This window comes from Homo sapiens, chromosome 5 (genome assembly GCF_000001405.40).
Source record: "Homo sapiens chromosome 5, GRCh38.p14 Primary Assembly".
Taxonomy (NCBI): Eukaryota; Metazoa; Chordata; class Mammalia; order Primates; family Hominidae; genus Homo; species Homo sapiens.
The window spans coordinates 40,894,641-40,914,212 of record NC_000005.10 but is presented as its reverse complement, the minus strand read 5'-3'; the positions used below and the strand labels follow the sequence as shown (position 1 = coordinate 40,914,212).

Sequence of the window (19,572 nt, the reverse complement as noted above, 5' to 3'; positions counted from 1 at the left end):
TAATCATCAGAGAATTAAATTAAAACCACAAGGAGATATCATCTTACACAGTCAGAATGGCTACTATTAAAAAGTAAAAAAACTGGCTGAATGTGATGGCTCACACCTGTAATCCCAACACTTTGAGAGGACAAGGCAGGAGGATTGCTTGAAGCCAGAAGTTTGAGACCAGCCTAGGCAACATAGTAAGACTCTGTCTCTACAAAAAATAATTCTTAAAAAATTATTTGGGGCGGTCGGACGCAGTGACTCACGCCTGTAATCCCAACACTTTGGGAGGCTGAGGCGGGCAAATCATGAGGTCAGGAGATCAAGACCATCCTGACTAACACGGTAAAACCCCATCTCTACTAAAAATACAAAAAATTAACCAGGCATGTTGGCACGCACCTGTAGTCTCAGCTACTTGGGAGGCTGAGGCAGGAGAATCGCTTGAACCCAGGAGGTGGAGATTACAGTGAGCCGAGATCATGCCACTGCACTCCAGCCTGGGTGACAGAGCAAGACTCCATCTTAAAATATATAAATATACAAAATATACATATATATATATTTGCACATGGTGGCACATGCCCAGATAGTGCCAGCTACTCAGGAGGCTGAAGCAGGAGGATCACTTGAGCCCAGGAATTCAAAGGTGCAGTGAGCTATGATTGCACCATTACTCTCCAGCCTGGATAACAGAGCAAGACACCATCTCTCTTTAAAAATGTCAAAAAATAACAGTTGTTGGTAGGAATGCAGAGATAAGTGAGAATAGGGAATAGTATATATTCCCACCAATATATACTATTGGTGGGAATGTAAATTAGTACAACTTCCATAAAAAACAGTATGGAGATTTCTCAAAGAACTAAAAATTGAACTACCATCGGATCCATCAATCCCACTACTGGGTATCTACCCAAAGGAAAAGAAATCATTATATCAGAAAGATACCCGTACTCGTATGTTTATCTCAACACTATTCACAATAGCAAAGATATAGAAGCAACCTAAGTGTCCAACAACAGATGATTGGATAAAGAAAATGCAGTATATACACAATGAAATACTGTTCAATTTTTTAAAAAAGAATGAAACCATGTCTTTTGCAGCAGCATGGATGGAACTAGAGGCCATTATATTAAGTGAAACAACTTAGAAACATAAAATCAAGTACCTCATATTCTCACTTACAAGTAGGAGCTAAATAATGTGTACACATGGACAAAAAGTATGGAATAATAGACATTGGAGACTCAGAAGAGTTGGGGATAGAAAGGGGAAGAGTGATGAGAAATTACTTAATGGGTACAATGTACATTATTTGGAAGATAGATACACTGAAAGCCCAGACTTCAACACTACCCAATATATCCATGTAACAAAATTGCACTTGTACCCCTTAAATGTATACAAATAAAATAACTAAATGAATAAAATTTCCAAAAAAAACCATAAAATTTCAAAAAATCTTGAGTACTTGTTCTTGGCCTTTGACTCTCAGCCAAAATGTGGATAATGAAAATAATTATTTCTAACATTCTGTCACAGGTGTTTTAAAATAATTTCAGCCAGGTTTGGTGGCTCATGCCTGTAATCCTGGCATTTGGGGAGGACAAAGTGGTAGGATCACTTGAGCCCAGGAATTTGAGGCCAGCCTGTTGCAACAAAAAATACAAAAATTAGCCAGGCATGGTGGCGGGCACCTGTAGTCCCAGCTACTCAGAAGACTAAGGTGGGAGGATCACTTGAGCCCAGGATGTAGCAGCTGCAGTGAGCCATAATTGTACCACTACACTCCAGCCAGGGCAACAGAGCAAGATCTTGTCTCAAATTTAAAAGCATTTTTTAAAATAAAGAATTTCAATGAAATTTTAGGAAATATACTTTTTATCATCATGGATGCCTTTGTCATCACCTTCTTCATATACATACTCATTATAACCCATCAAGGTCTGCTTATTACAAGACCAGTTCTGTTCATGTTATACAAAGTGAATCTACTAACCAAAAGCATTTCTTGAAATTTGGCTAGCCTTAGGATAATTACCTTTGGAAAAAATACCTTATAAATGAACAAGAGAGATAGAACAAACACAAATAAATCATGTGAATGACAGTGATAGACATACATCTGAACTGACTCTATAAAAGAATTGCTTGGTTGAAGAAGTATGTGGGGCCGGGCGTGGTGGTTCATGCCTGTAATCCCAGCACTTTGGGAGGCCAAGGCAGGTGGATCATGAGGTCAGGAGTTCAAGACCAGCCTGGCCAATATGGTGAAACCCCATCTTTACTAAAAAAAAAAAAAAAATACAAAAATTAGCAAGGCATGGTGGCGCACGCCTGTAGCCCCAGCTACTCAGGAGGCTGAGGCAGAAGAATCGCTTGAACCCAGGAGGCGGAAGTTGGAGTGAGCAGAGATCGTACCTCTGCACTCCAGCCTGGGCAACAGAGTGAGACTTTGTCTCAAAAAAAAAAAAAAAAGAAAGAAAGAAAAAGTGTGTGGTATTTTTGTTCTGTGTCAATGTAGCTAAGCTGGAACTACATTCCCCTGAATTATCTTCTCCTCTTTATCATCAATGAATGAGCATTAGCTCTACCTCCTTCTTCCAGTATGTCCCAGCTACAATCCTGATTTGAGACATTACTGTGCTTGACCATCACTGTGCTTGGGCACTGTGACGACCATTCCCTAGATTCACAGGCCCCAAGCTCAGCTCTCTCCTGGAGGGACGGAACAAATGGCTGGGCCACAGCCAGCTCCGAGGGAAGTCCCTTGTCCCTGACATCCTTCTCCAACACCTCAGATCCAAGTTATTTCCTATCCAAGAACACAGAGAGAACCAAAGGGAATCCTGTGACTGTCTCTCTGAATTTAGTTCACGTGGGGGCTGTGGGGCCAAAACATTGCTTCCTCTTAAAAAGTCTGACATAGAAACCATTTCTAGCTTCTTGATAGCCCAAGGCTTTCACAAGTGTCCCTTCTTTGTCACATATCACCAAAGCATGTCCTTCAGGTTTACTGTAAAAATATGAATGTCCACTTTCAAATACAGGTAAGAACTCTACATGCGACTTGGAGTGAAATAATTGCTTTAGTGTTACAGTTGTTTTAGAACTTGTCTATCAGGCTTCCCAATTTTTGCTGGAAAGCCCCTATATGTAAAATTTTTAAAAAATTAATTGCTTTATTTGTTGATATTTTGTCAACTAATTAAAGGATAGAAGTATATTTATTATTACAGCAGTAAAATATTATAATAATGATTGTAAACATGTTTTTAAGCACAAAGCAATTATTAAGATTTCTTATTGTAAAATAAAGTAAAAGATTAATAGTTAACACAAATATTAGGAAAAAACATTTTGGCTAGATAACTTTCAGAAGAGCATCATTTTCTTTTCTTGTTTTTTTTTTGTTTTTTTTTTTTTTGAGAGAGAGTCTCACCTTATTGCCCAGGCTGGAGTGCAGTGTCTAGTGTTGCCATCTTTATGCCCATGAGTACCCAATATTTAGCTCCCACTTAAAAATTAAGAACATGGGGTATTTGATTGTCTGTTCCTGCGTTAATTTTCTTAGGATAATGACCTCTATCTGCCTCCATGTTGCTGCAAAGGACATGATTTCATTCTTTTTTATGACTGCCCATCATAACTTTAAACAAATTAACTTTGTTATTTGTGTTTAATTTTAATTATTTAATTTCACAGAAGGCATGGCTTAATCAAGATCCATATCTTGCTCCTCCTCTAACCCCAATAATGAGCGAGCTTGGATTCGGTGCCCCAATGGACAATACAGTGACTATGGAAGCAATCTAGCCACTGACAGATCTGTGAAATTATTCCTACAGTCTTACAATGCAACATTTTTAAAGTTTAAATACCAAAATTTACAATAATAAAATTTGAATAGCAATCTCAACTTATTTTTGCATTCCAGAGATTTAGTCTATGATAGCGATTTCTATCTTTGGTCTTATCTTTTGTTGAATAGCTTTTTGGTTGTGTTTTGTTTTGTTTTTTAATATTTGGCCTTTTTGCATTGGGCCAACATGTATACTTGGTAGACCTTTAGTTTTATTCCATCTACTCATATCTTCTATTCTCACAATGCTGACTCTTTCATCCAGGATTTCAAATTCTCAAGTTCCAAGCCTGCAAATTTGCTTTTCTATTAGCTCTTAGATAAATCGCAGGACCCTACTGCATGGCTCCTAATCCAAACAAGCAAAAAAAAAAAAAAAAAATACACCAGAGGAAAGTTTTTCCCAAGAAATAACAATAGTACTATTGTATTTCTTTATGACTTTATCGGGACTTTCATAAACATTGTCTCCAATTCCTGATTCCCAGACCTCTGGACCTATAATTTCACCACAAGATAAGAAAAAGGAATTCACTTTGGCTGAACTGTTAAATATGTTTAAATAAGGATTTCTAAACATCACCCCCAGGTCTTTTTCTTCTGTATTTTCCTCTGGCCTTCTATTTATTTGATGTCTTTCAGTTAGGTATTACACCTCTTCGTTTAAATTACATTTATATTACCCCCGTTCATTTGAAAAGATAGCTTCATTTACAAAAGTAATGAATTTATTGTCTTACCTTCATGTTTGGGAAAACATTCAGGGCAGAAGAGAGGAGGAAGATTTCCTCTGTAAGGGCCGGGTAAGTTTTCAACAGCAGGAAGAGCCCAGCAGGCTGCCTGCCTCTCTGCCTCTCCCTGCTCTAGATTATCTTGGCACTCATATATAGAGCAAGTGGTCCTGAGATTTAGCTCCTACCCCAACCGGATTCTCCAACGACAGCAAGAGCCTGACCTTGTACTTAATCTGTGCCTTGAAACCAGATGCATCTTATCAATTACACAGCCTTAGCTACAGCCAGCTGGGACTGTTTGGAAGTTATAGATATGTTTCTTAGAAACATATCTATAAATCAGGAAACACAGCAAATGTTCTCAGTTCAATGTTTAAGTGATTTTCAACCAAAGGAGACTCTGTAAGGCAAGGGATGAGCCTCCTTCTTGTTTCAATCTACTAAACTAAGTGGATGTTTTCATGATTCTCTTAAAAGGTGTTATATGCCAGACTTTGAGATTAAATATTTTATGAAAGAAAATATTTAAATGCAGTTCTGTCACTCAAAATCTAAATAGAATGTTCTGGAGTAGAATTTTTCCCCAAAGTACAGCCTAATACAACCCAATAGTCATCCCTTCATGCTTAACTTTCACAGAATAATCAGAAAGAATATCAATTTTTGTAAACATATTTGAGGACATCACTAATTTTCTCAAGAACTTCACTTAATCCTTTGATAATCAGATCACTGTGTTGGAAAGTTCTTCTCAGGGTCATTATCCACATCCATTTTCTCTCCTTTGCTTTTTATCTTGTCTTATTCTACCAGGTCTTTATTTTCCCATAGCTTTGCATTGATTCTAGCAAGTCCCCAACATCACCTTCATACATTTAATAAAATGCTGCTTATTTTGCAAGATTTTAGATTTCCTATTGAAACTGAGCTACAGTTGGCCAGGCGCGGTGGCTCATGCCTGTAATCCCAGCACTTTGGGAGGCCAAGGCGAGCGGACCAAGAGGTCAGGAGTTCGAGACCAGCCTGGACAATACAGTGAAACCCCGTCTCTACTAAAAACACAAAAAAATTAGCCAGGCATGGTAGCATGCACTTGTAGTCCCAGCTACTCAGGAGGCTGAGAGAGAAGAATCACTTGAACCCAGGAGGCGGAGGTTGCAGTGAGCTGAGATCGCACCACTGCACTCCAGCCTGGGAGACAGAGTGAGATTCCATCTCAAAAAAAAAAAAAAAAAAAAAATTGAGCTACAGTTTTATTTGTATTGTTGGACCAAATATTCTAACACTAGCTGCTAGTGCATTATGAGTGAGGTAGAATAAATGTTAAGCGGGAAAGAAAATTTGAGTTAAGAATAATTTTATAAGTAAACATTCCATTAGTGAAGATTTTCTAGCTTTAATGACTTTTTCTTCCTATATCCAAAGCACTGGAATAATAAAGACAACCCCTATCCTCCCCTCATAAATTAATGGTGGTTTCCAGAGACAAAGCTTCCGCATCTTTTGTTCAAAGCTTTAGTGATTTGTGTGGAAGAAATTTTGTCACAGAGACAAAGATCCTGACTCCTGAAAGAAATATTTTTTATTCAGCTCCAACTGCATAAATTCCAGATGCCATAGACTCATCTTAAATTCTCAATATACAATTCCATTTCAGCGGCTCTCTTAGTTTGGGTTCCCCCAGAAGTAGATTCAGAAACAAGAATTCAATTGCAAGTAGTTTGTTTTTGTTTTTGTTTTAAGAGATAATCTTAGAAAGCACCACTGGAAGTGGGAAAGTGAGATTGGGGAGAAAAGAAAGTCAATAAAGGGTGTTTTATCAAGCAAGAGACTCCAGTGGGCAATTTGAGTTCAGTTCTAATGAGGAACTCTGAAAGACATTGCACACGAACTCTGCAATTAAGAGTTAGTCCAGCCAGGTGTGGTGGTTCACACCTGTGATCCCAGCACTTTGGGAGGCTGAGGTGGGTGGATCACTTGAGGTCAGGAGTTCAAGACCAGCCTAGCCATGATGGTGAAGCCCCATCTCTACTAAAAATACAAAAAAAAAAAAAAGCCAGTTATGGTGGTTCATGCCTGTAATCCCAACTACTCAGGAGGCTGAGGCACGAGAATCACCGGAACCCAGGAGGCAGAGGCAGCAGTGAAGTGAGATTGCACCACTGAAGAGACTGCACTGCTGAAGAGCAGCCTGGGTGACAGAGCGAGAGCCTGTCCCCCAAAAAAAAAAAAAAAAAAAGAGTTAGTCCAATTAAGGGGTAAGGAAACCCATCGCTGATGATGAAGGTAGCTTCTGAACCCATTGGCTCTCTGGCACTACCAGCTTGCCCTGGGGGCAAGCTAAGCACACGCCTGCAGCCATAAGTAAAGGTTTTCAAGCAGGGAATTGTAGCATTTGCAATATTTGCAGGTGTTTACCTTTGTCATTTAGAGGCGAGCGATGAAGGAATATGGGTAGGGTACCAACAGCATCTGCTACAGTAGCTTTTTATTTATATATACATGCATGTATTAATTTTTTCATCCTGAATTTGATCAATATTTTCTAAAATGTGTAATATGATAGGCTATCAGCTTTGACAGGTAGAAGCCTTAAGCTATATCCTTCCTTATTTTTGTTCTTTACATGCTATAAAGGACCGTATTAGCCCATTTACAGAATATCCTTAATCTAGAGGATGATTTGGATATATTTATAGTAATTTAGAACTTGAATTGTTCAGCTCAGGTATCCCATAGATCATTCAATTCTGAAAGGGTTACAGAAACTTCCTTTCCCCAATTGCCTTGCACACTCCTACCTTCATATCTGTAACATCACAAGAGCATTTCTTCTGTCTGCAATTTTAATGGAGGAACCATTAGCACAAAGGCTTTAAATGCAGGTGGGAGCAACACTGTGGGAAGTTTTACTGCTAGCATAAGTTGTATGGACTTTATTCACACAATGAGTCACTGAGAATTCACCCACTGGAAGTTTTTAAGAAAGAATCAAAGCAGTGTTTTAGATTGATTGAAACAGTAGCTGTGTGCAGCCTACATAGAATAGGTAAGGAAAGGAAGCAGGAAGCGTGACTTGGAATTTATTTCAGTAGTTTAGACAAGGGGATCAAGGCCTCATTTAAAAAGGGATTGACACAGCTGTCTCTACAAAAAACACAAAAATTAGCTGGGCATGATGGCACATGCCTGTAGTCTCAACTACTCAGAAAGCTGAGGTGGCCCAGAAGGTTGAGGCTGCAGTGAGTTATGAGCAGGTCACTGCACTCCAGCCTGGGTGACAGAGCAATGCCTTGTTTCAAAAACAAAAACAAAAACAGAAACAACAAAAAAAGAAGGGGCTGGGCACGATGGCTCACACCTGTAATCCCAGCACTTTGGGAGGCCGAGGCAGGTGAATCACTGGAGAGGTCAGGATTTCAAGACCAGCCTGGCCAACATGGTGACAACCCCTGGACAACATGGTGGACAACTGTAATTCCAGCTACTTGGGAGGCTGAGGTAGGAGAATCACTTGAACCTGGGAGGCAGAGGTCGCAGTGAGCCAAGATGGCACCACTGCATTCCAGCCTGAGCAACAGAGCAAGACGTTGTCCCAGGAAAAAAAAAAAAAAAAAAGGAAAGACAAAAAAGGCAGAAGAATTCACAGGGTTTAGTGATTAAATATGGTTTCAAGTCTGATTGACTCAGAGAATTGAAAGAATTTAAGAAAAATTTAAAGGAGGAAGAAAATTAGAAGTCAAAAAGGAAGAGATGGTTTTGGAGAGGGGACATTTTTACTTTGGGGAAAGCATCCAACATATAATGGAGGTCTCTTTGGGAAGAGACAGGCTTCACCTATGTCTCTTGGAGGGGGACATGGGTGGAGCTGCTAGCATGGAGGTATCTAACTAAAATCATGGACTTCAGTGAATCTTCTAGAGACTGAACATAATGAACCATAAAACCACAAGAAATGCCCCTGTTCAGGAGTAAGAAGAAAAAAAGTCCCAAAAAGGAGAGGTTACAGAAAAAGAAGAAAAACCAAAACAGTGCAACATCAAGCCAATTCAGGAGAATTTCAAGATGAAGAACCCAGTCAACAATTACTCCCAGCAAATGCCCAGCTTGGATTTGCAAAGCACAGTGCATTGTAAATTAAATGTTCTGAAAGTTCTGTAACAAGTAAAACTTTTTTAACTTTTTCAACCCAGAATTTCTCAAGTTCATGTGACCCCCTGGACTTTTATTTCTAACAAACCCCAAAACTGGTATATGGGCATGCTTTGGCAAATAAATGGTGTCTGAGCCAAAGCTAAATCAGTAGAAGGATAAAGCAGATTTCTGCCAGACTGGGGAAGGGTCAATAAGGGCACAGCCCTCTCCTCATCTCCTGTGACACCAGCTCTTCCCCATTTGCCCTCACCTCCCTTGGCAGCTCTTCAAACACTGTTAACATCCCCAAACCCTAATGAAACTATTACTCCACCGATGATATCAGGAAGCAATTCTGGTTCACCACAGGGAGATATTTGAAAACATTTTAACGAAGCTATTTCATTTACTAGTCATTTCATTTTGCTCTGAATTGTTCCAACAGATTTAGCTGACTCTGGGGGTTTCAGAGGAACAAACTCACTGGGGAAGAGTAAAAGCCTCCTTTTTCCTCCTCTCTTGTATTGAGGCTGATAAGGTCAGAATTGAACCGGCCAGGAGTTGGAGTGAAGAAGCAAGAGCATCCCCTAGTGGCAGACTGCTCCAGGCCCTAGAGTCAAAGAATACCATTAAGCTCTGGAGTTAAACCACTCAGGAGGGAGTGAAACACAGTGAATCTTCCTAGGCTCCCAGGCAAGTGCTTGTTAAGCTAATAAGTACTCCAGGTGGTGTTGCTTTTTCCATTTAAAGTGTCACACTGTGAACAGTTTGAGAATGAAAAATGGCTGCCAAGCAATGCCTTATTCAAAGGAAGATTTCAGTAAAATGATGATTATTAAATGCTTTATCATTACACATAATAAGATGCTGCCCATCTCTGCTGGAAGCACTGCATTAAATGCTGTGATCTGTGCATTAATTTAAAGTGAGGCCACTAGATTAATACTCTCTGTTGGCATCCGGTTCTTCATAGGAAAGTTGTTTAAGGTTTAAATAGATTAGGAAATACAAGGTTTCACACTTCCCTTCTGGACAGACTTCTGGACAGGTGCCGTTGTACTTTTCCACACTGGACAAGCTTTTGCCCTGGTGACCCCGATGGCTGCAAATGGCAAGAATCAAATTACAATCACGAGGAGATAAGAAGTTTTGTCGTTATGGTTTTTAATAGCGACAGGCATTTGCTAAATTTAGGAGAAGGCCCAGATTTGTTTGGGTTTCTGAATGGCATCTGGGTTTTTCAGTTATTGCAATGCACATTGTAGCAGTAGCCTGCAAGTACAAGATACATTTCATTTGGTTTAAATTTGAATTAAGTCAAACAGCTCTGAGAAGGAAGACATAAAATACAAAGATTTCAGTGGTTCTGTAACTGCCTTATGTAAAGTCCTGTGGAGGAAGGGTAAAAAAGGACAAGGTCATTTATTTGATCTACACTTCAAACTTGTGGTGCCTAAACGGAAAGTTGTTTTTGTTTTCATACCAAGAGCTCAGCATGCAATAGACCTAAAATAAAAATCAATCACTCAGAAAATGTCAGGCCACCCCTTAATTTTAAGCTATAATTCTTTAAACAATCTTTAAACAGATATGTTTTAATATCAGATTCATCGTTAAATATTCCACAGGCCAAGAAAGAATAAACAATGTGGTTAAAAAAAGTAAAATCCTAGGCGGGTGGATCACAAGGTCAGGAGTTCGAGACCATCCTGGCCAACATGGCAAAACCCCATCTCTACTAAAAATACAAAAATTAGCTAGGTGTGGTAGCACACCTGTAGCACATGCCTGTAATCCCAGCTACTCAGGAGGCTGAGGTCGGACAGCTGCTTGAACCCTGGAGGCAGAGGCTGCAGTGAGCCGAAATCGTGCCACTGCACTCCAGCCTGGGTGACAGGGAGGGACTCTGTCTCAAAAAAAAAAAAAAAAAGAAGTAAAATCCTGAATTGTGCAACCTCTTAAAATGTTTGTGAAAAAAAATCTTAGTAACCAGGGAAGAATATTCACAAATACCTAACTAGAAACTTCTTAGGAGGAAAATTTTTCTAAAACCAAAATGAGTACTAATTTGTATTTCTTTTGTTTTGTTTTTTTTATTTTTTTATTTTTTTGAGACAGGGTCTTGCTCTGTCACCCAGGCTGGAGTGCAGTGGTGTGACCACAGCTCACTGCAGCCTCAACCTCCTGAGCTCAGGTGATCCTCCCACCTTAGCCGTCCCTTGAGTAGCAGGGACCACAGGCACATGCCACCATGTTCAGCTAATTTTTATATGTTTTGTAGAGCTAAGGTTTCATCATGTTGCCCAGGTTGGCCTCACACTGCTGAGTTCAAGTGAACCTCTTGCCTTGGCCTTCCAAAGTGCTGTGGGCCTCTAATTTGTGTTTCATTTATACAAATATGTGCTCTGAAAACAGATAATCTGGGTTCAAATCTTGGGCAGGTTTGTTCATCTCTCTGACTTTCTGTTTTCATATCTGAAAGGTGGAAATCATATTATCTGACCCCTAGGGGTATTATATTAAATGAGATAATCCAAATACAACAATTATAGCATCATGCCCAGAATATAGTGAGCTTACTCCAATAAATATGAACTAGTATGCAAATTATCATAAACAATCCAGCTGGGCACAGTGGCTTGCTCCTATAATCCCAGCACTTTGGGAGGCCAAGGCAGCAGGATTGCTTGAGGCCAGGAATTCAAGACCACCCTGAGCAACATGGCAAGACCCCATATCTACAAGAAAATTTTAAAAATTATCCATGCATGGTGGTGCATGCCTCTGGTCCCAGCTACTCAGGAGGCTGAGGTGGGAGGGTCACATGAGCCCAAGAGATTGAGGCATCAGTAAGCCATGATCGTGCCACTGCATTCCAGCCTGGGCAACAAAGTAAGAACATGGCTCAAACAAACAAACAAACAAACAAAAAATTGGGCCGGGCGCAGTGGCTCACAGCGGTAATCCCACCACTTTGGGAGGCCAAGGTGGGTGGATCACCTGAGGTCAGGAGTTCGAGACCAGCCTGACCAACATAGTGAAACCCTGTCTCTACTAAAAATACAAATATTAGTCGGGCATGGTGGTATGCACCATAGTCCCAGCTACTTGAGAGGCTGAGGCAGTAGAATCGCTTGAACCTGGGAGGTGGAGGTTGCAGTGAGCTGAGATTGCACCACTGCACTCTAGCCCGGGCAACAAAGTGAGACTCCGTCTCAAAAACAAACAAACAAACAAAAAAAAACAGTGAAACAATCCGAATAGTCATCAATGATGGATTGGTTAAATAATGTATAGCATATACACACTTTTTTTGTTTTTTTTGTGAGACTTGCTTTGTTGCCAAGGTTGGAGTATAGTGGCGCCATCTTGGCTCACTGTAACTTCCACATCCTGGGTTCAAGCTATTCTTGTGCCTCAGCCTCCCAAGTAATTGGGACTACAGGCATGCGCCACCATGCCTGGCTAATTTTTTTTGTATTTTTAGGAGAGACAGGGTTTCACCATGTCACCCAGGCTGGTCTTGCTCTCCTGAGCTCAGGCAATCCACCTGTCTTGGCCTGACAACGTGCTAGGATTATAGGCGTGAGCCACTGCACCCAACGACAGTATGTACACACATTAAATGGAATATTATTCAGCTAAATAAATGGAAGAAACACTCTATGCACTGATATGGAAAGATCTACAAAATATACTCTAGAGGTGAAAAAAAAAGGTGCAGAACAGTATAGCATTTTGGGTTAAAAGAAGGGAGGAGAATAAGAATATATATTCTATTTGTTTGCATTTGCATGAAAAAACTCTCATAGGATACACAAAGAAACTAATAAAAATTCTTATCTGAAGATTAATGTGGGAAGGAAACTAGGTGAAGAGATGGAAACAGAATGAATAGAAAAAGGTGGGACTAAGAATTTTACTTTCCACTAGTTTTATAGTTTTAATACATTAATGAATGTATTTCTGATTTTTTAAAAATATAATTACTTAATTTTATTTTGTTAGCTTTTATTATTTTATAATTCAAAGTACAAAACAATAAGCATCCTGGCTGGATGTGGTGGCTCATGCCTGTAAACCCAGCACTTTGGGAGGCCAAAGCAGGAGAATCACTTGAGGTCAGGAGTTTGAGACTAGCCTAGCTGACATGATGAAACCCCATTTCCACTAAAAATACAAAAAAAAAATTAGCCAGACGTGGTGGTGCACACTTTTAGTCCCAGTGACTTGGGAGGCTGACGCAGGAGAATCGCTTAAACCCAGGAGGTGGAGGTTGAAGTGAGACAAGATCACACCACTACACTCCAGCCTGAGTGACAAAGTGAGACTCCACCTCAAAAAAAAAAAAAAAAAAGAATAAGCGTCCTAATATATTCTTTGTCCTTTGTTTGTTTGCTTGTTTGTTCATTTGTTTATTTGAATGAATCATGGGATACTGTAGGGATACACATAGCACTAAAAGTAACAGCAATCTTACTAAAATGCTTCATGGTCACCAGGACCAAAAGGATGGTCTGGAAGGTAGATATAGTAATTCATAGATCTTTACTTTAGTGCACCACCAATCTATTTCTTTGATATTTATGTGACCAAGTTTCCAAATGCAAGCTCTCAAAGTGAGCATATGAGTAAACATCACTGCTGCTATGTAATTAAATATACACGAAATGTAATAAATTACCCAGACTCACAAAGAAATTGGTTTCATTCTCTTCTTTCTCCTTTTCATCTTCTACTGATTTGGGCCTGTTTCTGGAAAGAAAATGTGGCTTGCCAAAAAAGGCATCAAACAAATCTTGTCTCAAATTTAGAGTTCACAATCTGCTATCTGTATTATCCTCATAGGCCTCAATTTTCTTACATAACAAAGGGAATGAAACTTTTTATAGGATTGATGAGATTCAAGATATATAAAAACCATAGTACATCATCTTGAGCACATATAAGCTCCACACTCATGAACAATAAATGAGTTTCTTTTAAATATGCATAAGTAAATGTGAACCAAAGAGAAATTTTTATCAAAACAGTTTATTTTTTTCTTATTATACTTTGAGTTCTAGGGTACATGTGCACCACATTCAGGTTTGATACACAGGTAAACATGTGCCATGTTGGTTTGCTGCACCCATCAACTCATCATTTATATTAGGGATTTCTCCTAATGCTATCCCTCCCCCATCCCCCTACCCCCCAACAGGCCCTGGTGTGTGGATGTTCCCTGCCCTGTGTCCAAGTGATCTCATTGTTCAATGCCCACCTATTAGAGAGAACATACAGTGTTTTTTTTCTGTTCTTGTGATAGTTTGCTCAGAATGATGGTTTCCAGCTTCATCCATGTCCCTGCAAAGGACACGAACTCATCCTTTTTTATGGCTGCATAGTATTCCATGGTGTATATGTGCCACATTTTCTTAATCCAGTCTATCATTGATGGACATTTGGGTTGGTTCCAAGTCTTTGCTATTGTGAATAGTGCTGCAATAAACATACATGTGCATGTGTCTTTATAGCAGCATGATTTATAATTCTTTGGGTATATACCCAGTAATGGGATTGCTGGGTCAAACAGTAATTCTAGTTCTAGATCCTTGAGGAATCGCCACATTGTCTTCCACAATGGTTGAACTAATTTACACTCCTACCAACAGTGTAAAAGTGTTCCTATTTCTCCACAGCCTCTCCAGCATCTGTTGTTTCCTGACTTTAATGATTGCCATTCTAACTGGCATGAGATGGTATCACATTGTGGTTTTGATTTGCATTTCTCTGATGGCCAGTGATGATGAGCGTTTTTTCGTGTGTCTGTTGGCTGCATAAATGTCTTCTTTTGAGAAGTGTCTGTTCATATCCTTTGCCCACTTTTTGATGGGGTTGTTTGTTTTTTTCTTGTAAATTTGTTTGAGCTCTTTGTAGATTCTGGATATTAGCCCTTTGTCAGATGGGTAGATTGCAAAAATTTTCTCCCACTCTGTAGGTTGCCTGTTCACTCTGATGGTAGTTTCTTTTGGTGTGCAGAAGCTCTTTGGTTTAATAAGATCCCATTTGTCAATTTTGGTTTTTGTTGCCATTGCTTTTGGTGTTTTAGTCATCATGTCCTTGCCTATGCCTATGTCCTGAATGGTATTGCCTGGGTTTTCTTCTAGGGTTTTTATGGTTTTAAGTCTAACATTTCAGTCTTTAATCCATCTTGAATTAATTTTTGAATAAGGTGTAAGGAAGGGATCCAGTTTCGGATTTCTACATATGGCTAGCCAGTTTTCCCAGCATCATTTATTAAATAGGGAATCCTTTCCCCATTTCTTGTTTTTGTCAGATTTGTGAAAGATCAGATGGTTGTAGATGTGTGGTGTTATTTCTGAGGCCTCTGTTCTGTTCCATTGGTCTATATCTCTGTTTTGGTACCAGTACCATGCTGTTTTGGTCACTGTAGCCTTGTAGTATAGTTTGAAGTCAGGTAGCATGATGCCTCCAGCTTTGTTCTTTTGGCTTAGGATTATCTTGGCAATGTGGGCTCTTTTTTGGTTCCATATGAACTTTAAAGTATTTTTTTCCAATTCTGTGAAGAAAGTCAATTTGCAGGTTGATGGGGATGGCATTGAATCTATAAATTACTTTGGGCAGTATGGCCATTTTCACAATATTGATTCTTCCTATCCATGAGCATGTCATATTCTTCCATTTGTTTGTGTCCTCTTTTATTTCATTGAGCAGTGGTTTGTAGTTCTCCTTGAAGAGATCTTTCACATCCCTTGTAAGTTGGATTACTAGGTATTTTATTCTCTTTGTAGCAATTGTGAATGGAAGTTCACTCACGGTTTGGCTCTCTGTTTGTCTGTTAATGATGTATAGGAATGCTTGTGATTTATGCACATTGATTTTGTATCCTGAGACTTTGCTGAAGTTGCTCATCAGCTTAAGGAGATTTTGGGCTGAGACGATGGGGTTTTCTTTCATATATATATATATATATATATATATATATATATATAAATTTTTTTATTACACTTTAAGTTCTAGGGTACATGTGCACAATGTGCAGGTTTGTTACATATGTATACATGTGCCATGTTGGTGTGCTGCACCCATTACAATCATGTCGTCTGCAAACAGGGACAATTTGACTTCCTCATTTCCTAATTGAATACTCTTTATTTCTTTCCCTTGCCTGATTGCCCTGGCCATGGCCAGAACTTCCAACAGTATGTTGAATAGGAGTGGTGAGAAAGGGAATCCTTGTCTTGTGCCGGTTTTCAAAGGGAATGCTTCCTATTTTTGCATTTGAGTGAGTTTCTTAATCCTGAGTTCTAATTTGATGGCACTGTGGTCTGAGAGACAGTTTGTTGTGATTTCTGTTCTTTTACATTTGCTGAGGAGTGCTTTAGTTCCAATTATGTGGTCAATTTTAGAAAATGCAATGTGGTGCTAAGAAGAATGTATATTCTGTTGATTTGCAGTGGAGAGTTCTGTAGCTGTCTATTAGGTCTGCTTGTTGCAGAGCTGAGTTCAAGTCCTGGATATCCTTGTTGACATTCTGTCGCATTGATCTGTCTAATATTGACAGTAGGGGTGTTAAAGTCTCCCATTATTATTGTGTGGGAGTCTAAGTCTCTTTGTAGGTCTGTAAGGACTTGCTTTATGAATCTGGGTGCTCCTGTCTTGGGTGCATATATATTTAGGATAGTTAGCTCTTCTTGTTGAATTGATCCCTTTACCATTATGCCTTCTTTGTCTCTTTTGATCTCTGTTGGTTTAAACTCTGTTTTATCAGAGACTAGGATTGCAATCCCTGCTTTTTTTTTCTTTCCATTTGCTTGGTAGATCTTCCTCCATCCCTTTATTTTGAGCCTATGTGCATCTTTGCATGTGAGATGGGTCTCCTGAATACAGCACACTGATGGGTCTTGACTCTTGATCCAATTTGCCAGTCTGTGTCTTTTAATTGGGGCATTTAGCCCATTACATTTAAGGTTAATATTGTTATGTGTGAATTTGATCCTGTCATTATGATGTGAGCTGGTTATTTTGCCTGTTAATTGAGGCAATTTCTTGATAGCATCAATGGTCTTTACAATTTGGCATGTTTTCACAGTGGCTGGTACCAGTTGTTTCTTTCCATGTTTACTGCTTCCTTCAGGAGCTCTTGTAAGGCAGGCCTGGGGGTGACAAAATCTCTCAGCATTTGCTTGTCTGTAAAGGATTTTATTTCTCCTTCACTTACGAAGCTTAGTTTGGCTGGATATGAAATTCCGGATTGAAAATTCTTTTCCTTAACAATGTTGAATATTGGCCCCCACTCTCTTCTGGCTTCTTGGGTTTCTGCCAAGAGATCCACTGTTAGTCTAATGGGCTTCCCTTTGTGGGTAACTTGACCTTTCTCTCTGGCTGCCCTTAACACTTTTTCCTTCATTTCAACCGTGGTGAATCTAACAATTGTGTCTTGGGGTTCCTCTTCTAGAGGAGTATCTTTGTGGTGTTCTCTGTATTTCCTGAATTTGAATGTTGGCCTGCCTTGCTAGGTTGGGGAAGTTCTCCTGGATAATATCCTGAAGAGTGTTTTCCAACTTGGTTCCATTCTCCCCATCACTTTCAGGTACACCAGTCAAATGTAGATTTGGTCATTTCACATAGTCCCATATTTCTTGGAGGCTTTGTTCATTTCTTTTTACTGTTTTTTCTATAACCTTGTCTTCTCACTTTATTTCATCAATTTGATCTTCAATCACTGATACCCTTTCTTCCACTTGATCAAATCGGCTATTGAAGCTTGTGCATGTGTCACAAAGTTCTCGTGCCATGGTTTTCAGCTTCATCACGTCATTTAAGGTCTTCTCTACACTGTTTATTCTACTTAGCCATTCATCTAACCATTTTTCAAGGTTTTTAGCTTCCTTGCAATGGGTTCGAACATCCTCCCTTAGCTCGGAGAAGTTTGTTATTACTAACCTTCTGAAGCCTACTTCTGTCAACTCATCAAAGTCATTCTCCATCCAGCTTTGTTCCGTTGGTGGCGAGGAGCTGCGATCCTCTAGAGGAGAAGAGGCGTTCTGATTTTTAGAATTTTTCAGCTTTTCTACTCTGGTTTCTCCCCATCTTTGTGGTTTTATCTACCTTTGGTCTTTGATGTTGGTGACCTACAGATGGGGTTTTGGTGTAGATGACCTTTTTGTTGATGTTGATGCTATTCTTTTCTGTTTGTTAGTTTTCCTTCTAATAGTCAGGTCCCTCAGCTACAGGTCTGTTGGAGTTTGCCAGACCCTGTTTGCCTGGGTATCACCAGCGGAGGCTGCAGATCAGCAAATATTGCAGAACAGCAAATATTGCTGCCCAGTCCTTTCTCTGGAAGCTTTGTCCCAGAGGGGCAGCTGCCTATATGAGGTGTCTGTCAGCTCCTACTGGGAGGTGTCTCCCAGTTAGGCTACATGGGGGTCAGGGACCCACTTGAGGAGGCAGTCTGTCCATTCTCAGAGCTCAAACACTGTGCTGGGAGAACCACTGCTCTCTTCAGAGCTGTCAGACAGGGACATTTGTCTGCAGAAGTTGTCTGCTGCCTTTTGTTCAGTTATGCCCTGCCCACAGAGGTGGAGTCTAGAGGCAGTAGGCCTTGTTGAGCTGCGGTGGGCTCCACCCAGTTTGAGCTTGCTGGCCACTTTGTTTACCTACTCAAGCTTCAGCAATGGCAGACGCCCCTCCCCCAGCCAGGCTGCCACCTCGCAGTTCGATCTCAGACTGCTGCACTAGCAGTGAGCAAGGAACTGTGGGCATGGGACCGGCTGAGCCAGGCACGGGAGAGAATCTCCTTGTCTGCCAGTTGCTAAGACCTTGGGAAAAGTGCAGTATTTGGGTGGGAGTGTCCTGTTTTTCCAGGTAGTCTGTCACAGCTTCCCTTGGCTAGGAAAGGGAAATCCGCCAACCCTTTGCACTTCCTGGGTGAGGCGACACCCAGCCCTGCTTCTGCTCGCCCTCCCTGGGCTGCACCCATTGTCCAACCAATCCCAGTGATATGAACCAGGTACCTCTGTTGGAAATGCAGAAATCACCTGTCTTCTGTGTCAATCACGCTGGGAGTTGCATACCGGAGCTGTTCCTATTCAGCCATCTTCACTCCTTCCGTCTCAAAACAGTTTATTAGTCAAACACAGTGGCTCATGCTTATAATGCCAGCACTTTGGGAAACCCAGACAGGAGGATAGCTTAAGGCCAGGAGTTTGAGACCAGCCTGCACAGCATAGTGAGACCTCATCTCTACAAAAAGTAAAAAAAAATTAAAAAGCCAGATATGGTGGTGGTGCATGCCTATAGTCCTAGTTACTTGGGAACTGTGGTGGGAGGATAGCTTGAGTCCAGGAGTTTGAGGCTGCAGTGAGCTATGATCATGCCACTGTACTCCAGCCGGGGTGACAGAGCAAGACTTTGTCTCTGAAAAAAAAAAAAAAAAAAACAGTTTATCCAAAGATATGCCTTCAATAATACACAACTAAATCAACCTACAAACACTCAGTCCAGGAGTCCAGAAAGAACCCAACTGTAATTACTACCGGAGTAATTGCCAACTATATGAAATTAGATTCTTATGAGTTTGTGAAGACAGTCATTGTGTACCTAGGGTTATTTTTAAATTTACATGATCCAAAATGAGAGTGCAGCAGCCTATTAAAGTATCAAAACTCTTTTCTTTGGATTGAACATTATATCAACTAGCATTGTGATAGTGATGGTATGGCTCACATTAATCAGAAGGTCTAGTTAACATTTGCATATATTATAACTTTGATTAAGCAAAAGATGAAACAAATTATGTTAGTAAATGCTTTATTATCAAAAAAAAGTATCTCAAAACATGTA

The 19,572-nt window shown here is 40.1% G+C and overlaps 1 protein-coding gene and 1 pseudogene across 1 annotated transcript in view, besides 1 other annotated feature; one reads left to right on the top strand and one right to left on the bottom strand.

Moving 5' to 3' along the window:
- The window catches only part of C7 (complement C7), a 75,147-nt gene extending 70,431 nt beyond the window's left edge, over positions 1 to 4,716 (bottom strand). The window contains exon 1 of the mRNA NM_000587.4: positions 4,597 to 4,716. Coding sequence (NP_000578.2) covers positions 4,597 to 4,602 — 6 coding nt within the window. The 5' untranslated portion in view covers positions 4,603 to 4,716. The remainder of the gene's footprint in view (positions 1 to 4,596) is intronic.
- Positions 3,085 to 3,146, top strand: RNU7-161P (RNA, U7 small nuclear 161 pseudogene; annotated as a pseudogene).
- Positions 17,827 to 18,476: an enhancer, noted in NCBI's record as "H3K27ac-H3K4me1 hESC enhancer chr5:40895839-40896488 (GRCh37/hg19 assembly coordinates)". NCBI's record gives its function as "activates a minimal SCP1, AML or CMV promoter by ChIP-STARR-seq in naive H9 embryonic stem cells {active_cell/tissue: H9 hESC(naive)}" and the evidence as "EXISTENCE:reporter gene assay evidence [ECO:0000049][PMID:30033119]".